The following is a 4,289-nucleotide window of genomic DNA, read 5'->3' as shown; positions in this document are numbered from 1 at the left end:
GCAATCACAGTGGCAGAGGCTTTCTGCTTTGAGGCTTGTCAGCCTTCAGGAAACTCAGATTTAGCTCCAAATGCCATGGAAAGAGGAATTTCTTCAACCATTAGAGGCAGGGGGCTTGGTCAAGCCAGAAGGCAATGGAACAAAGCACAGGTTGGGAGAGGAAGGGAGAGGCGTGGATCAGGGGCTAAGAATCAACCAAACACCAATCAGGCCAGTTTCCAGTCTTGTCCAGGGCTGGCTTTGATTCCAAGCGCTGTTAGAATTACAGTTTTCTTTCTTTCTTTCTTTCTTTTTCTTTCTTTCTTTCTTTCTTTCTTTCTTTCTTTCTTTCTTTCTTTCTTTCTTTCTTTCTTTCTCTTTCTTTCTTTCTTCCTTCCTTCCTTCCTCCCTCCCTCCCTCCCTCCCTCTCTCTTTCTCTCTCTCTCTCTTTCTTTCTTCCTTTCTTTCTTTCTTTCTTTCTTTCTTTCTTTCTTTCTTTCTTTCTTTCTTTCTTTCTTTCTTCTTTCTTTCTTTCTTTTTTGAGATGGAGTCTTGCTCTGTCACCCAGGCTGGAGTGCAGTGGTAGATCTCCGCTTACTGCAACCTCTGCCTCCCTGGTTCGAGCAATTCTCCTGCCTCAGCCTCCCCAGTAGTTGGGATTACAGGCGCCCGCCACTGTGCCGCCAAATTTTTGTATTTTTAGTAGAGACAGGTTTTCACCATGTTGGCCAAGCTGGTCTCGAACTCCTGACCTTAAGTGATCTGCTTGCCTCATCCTCCCAAAAGAATTATGGTTTTCTAAAGCTGGTGTATGGGAAATGAGTAAAGTAAACCACTCTGCTGGAGCCTCCTGTCTATGCAGGTTCACACTCTAAGACTTAGAAATTTTGTGGGAAGACATTCCCATCTTTTCTTTGCTAATAGTGGATCTCTTTTTTAAATGATTTTTTTCAACTCTGAAAATATAAACTCCATGCAATAGGTAAAGGTGCATGTCTTAACACTGTGTCCCTGACACAGAGTAGACACTCAGTAAGAATGTAAGCCACACAGATGAACTGTTGTGTTTTCCAACCCGTAATACCTCAAAGGAAAACAAGTTCCAAAGACCAACGACGTCACGGTGTGCAAAGTAACACTTCTTTTGTCTTGTTCTTAAAGAAGAAACCAGTATTTCAAGTTCAGAAGAATAAGTGATTGCATTGTCAGTGGTTTTCAGTATCTTTCTTCTTTTTTATTTTTAAAGCAGTGAAATTGTTTTATTAAATCTAATTTTACCTGGAACTTCTTGTTCATCATGGGGCAGGCCTCCCCTTTCTTTCCCCCTTGGGGTGGCTCAGAGGGAACTGGAATCCCGGTACTCCTGGGCATGGGAAAACCCCTGGACCTTCCAACTTCAGAGTTCTCTGCTGTGAATATCCGCTTCACAAGACATCCCGTGGGTGTTGAGAGATGCTGAGTTCAGTTTCTCCTTCTCTCATCCATTTTAGAGTTTCACACTTGTCACTATTAGGAAATGCTGCATCTTTTCTAACCCCAATTTCTAAAAATTTATTTACTTATTTATTTTTTGAGACAGGGTTTCCCTCTGTCACCCAGGCTGGAGCGCAGTGGTGCGATCACAGCTCAGAACAGCCTCAACCTTCTGGGATGAAATGATCCTCCTGCTTTAGCCTCCCGAGTAGCTGGAACTACAGGTGTGTGCCGCCATACCCAGCTAATTTTTGTATTTTTTGGTAGGAGCGGGGTTTTGCCATGTTGCTCAGGCTGGTCTTGAACTTCTGGGCTCAAGAATTTCTCCTGCCTTGGCCTCCTGAAGTGTTGGGATTACAGGTGTGAGCCACCAAGCCCTGCCAACCCCAATTTTTAAATAGTCTTTGGCATTAGGGTAATAATGGTCTCATAAAATGAGTAGGAATAGAGATGTGTTAGCTCTCCTTCTATTTTCTGAAAGAGTTTTGTAGAAATGATATTATTTTTTCTCTAAAATGAGGGCCATTTTATACAGCAGAATATTTGGTAGAATTTTCTAATGAAGCTATGCAAGCTTGAAGTTGTATTCATGGGAAATTTTTTTTTTTTGAGACAGCGTCTTGCTCTATCACCCAGACTGAAGTAGAGTGGAATGATCTCGGCTCATTGCAACCTCTGCCTCCTGGGTTCCAGTGAGAACGTCTGGCTAATTTTTATATTTTTAGTAGAGATGGGGTTTCACCATGTTGGCCAGGCTGGTCTTGAACTCCTGAGTTCAAGTGATCTACTTGCCATGGCCTCGCAAAGGGCTGGGATTACAGGTGTGAGCCACTGCGCCCGGCCATCCATGGGAAGATTTTAAACAAAACATTCAATTTCATTAACAAATATAAGGTTTATTCACATTATCTATTTCTTCTTGAGTGAGACCACAGTGGCTGAGACAAATTTTCCAAAATGATAACTTTCTCTTGAAAGCTGAAATTGCATCACTGGCAACACATAGTGTCAGTTGTTTTCCTTGAAATGAGAAAATGTCTGCTATTCACTCAGGTTTTTTTTTTTTAGGTGACCCGTAAGACTTTATTTTATTTGAGTTCTTGAAATATTATATTCTCCTGTGGACATTACTTTCAAGTGGAAACTCTGCTACAGTCCATAAAGAAATGAAAAGTTCTCTACTGCAGCAACCCCACATCCACATTTATATGCACACAGACATTTGGCAACAAAAGTAATTTTCAGTAACAGAGGACATCAGAATATCTAGACTGCTCAATTAAAATTTTTGGAAAGCATAAACAACTTACCTTGAAATCTATGAACTAGCTCTCCTAAATTTTTCTTTTCTTTTCTTTTCTTTTTTCAGTCTGCATCCCAGTGTTTATTACCAGCCCACAAGGGAGTATTATTTTTTTTTTGTTTGTACATTCTTTTTTTTTTTTTTTTTTTTTTTTTTTTTTAGTATTTATTGATCATTCTTGGGTATTTCTCGGAGAGGGGGATGTGGCAGGGTCATAGGATAATAGTGGAGAGAAGGTCAGCAGATAAACACGTATTCTCCCAGGTTTAAATGTCTGTCAATTGTTCTCTCCAGTAAAAATAAAGCTCTATTGAAAAAGTGACTTGTTCAGCTTGAGATGCAAACAATTGTCTAAATGCCTTTCCTTGAAACAACCACAGTGCTTTGGTGGAATAAAAGAAAAACTTCAACCAAATTAAATTAAAGGAGTTTAATTGAGCCATGAACAATTCATGAATCGGGCAGCCTCCAAAGCCAGAGTAGGCTCAGAGACTCCAGCACAGCCACAAGGTGGAAGAAGATTTATGAACAGAGGAAGGAAAGTGACGTATAGAAAAGGAAGTGAGGCCCAGAAACAGTTGCATTGGTTACAGCTTGGCATTTGCCTTCTTTGAACAAGGTTCAAACAGTTGGTTACATCTAATTGCCCAAAACTCGGTGATTGGCACAAGTGTAGGCTGCAGTCTGGTTACACCTCCACTTGTTATAGCTCACGATGTAAAGAGAAATCATTAGGCCAAACGTAAAATATGTAAGTTCATAAAGGAGGCAGCTTTAGGCTGAACTTGATTTAACAGGTGCTCAGCAGAGTATATTTCCCATTTGGTCACAAGGAATACTAAAAAGATGTGTAGTCAAGGGTTGAGCCAGTTGAGACCTAGTAATAATCTATAATCTTAGCAAGGGCATTCTCACATGAACCTGGAAGTCCTGTGCTTCTGTTATTCAGTGTCTGAAATCAGTTTCATGCATTTTGGCTGGCGTTCCAGTTGCTTAAGGCAGGATGGTAAACACAGTCCCTGTTAGTGCATTACAATGTTTTTGTCCGCTTCTGGAAATCCTGTTTATCCACTACGAGGTCTCCCAGAGCTGTCCTTCAAGTGTCTTCTCTTTCCCCCGATTTTCATCTCAATTTTTTTTTCTCTGTACTTTGGCACATTTTTTACATTTAGTTTATATGTACTACATTTTAAAATCCAAAACATGTTTTCTGGTAAGCTCCTGGAGTCTTTTTTATGCTTTTTTGGGGTCTCCTTGCTTCTTCTTCTTCTTTTTTTTTTTTTTTTTGAGATGGAGTCTCACTCTGTTGCCCAAGCCAGAGGGCAGTGGCATGATCTCGGCTCACTGCAGCCTCTGCCTTCCAGGTTCCAGTGATTCTCCTGCCTCAGCCTCCCAGTAGCTGGGATTACAGGCACATGTCTCTACCACCTGGCTCATTTTTTTTTGTATTTTTAGTAGAGACGGGGTTTCACCATGTTGGCCAGGCTGGTCTTGAACTCCTGACCTCAGGTGATCCGCCCGCCTCAGTCCCTCA

At 41.1% G+C, this 4,289-nt stretch overlaps 1 annotated feature.

Moving 5' to 3' along the window:
• Window positions 3,209-3,409: a silencer, noted in NCBI's record as "peak854 fragment used in MPRA reporter construct". NCBI's record gives its function as "represses an SCP1 promoter by STARR-seq MPRAs in K562 erythroleukemia cells {active_cell/tissue: K562}" and the evidence as "EXISTENCE:reporter gene assay evidence [ECO:0000049][PMID:32103011]".

The sequence above is a fragment of the Homo sapiens genome, chromosome 10 (assembly GCF_000001405.40).
Source record: "Homo sapiens chromosome 10, GRCh38.p14 Primary Assembly".
Classification (NCBI taxonomy): domain Eukaryota; kingdom Metazoa; phylum Chordata; class Mammalia; order Primates; family Hominidae; genus Homo; species Homo sapiens.
Note: the sequence above shows the minus strand (reverse complement) of the source record. Positions and strands in the feature narration are given on the sequence as shown.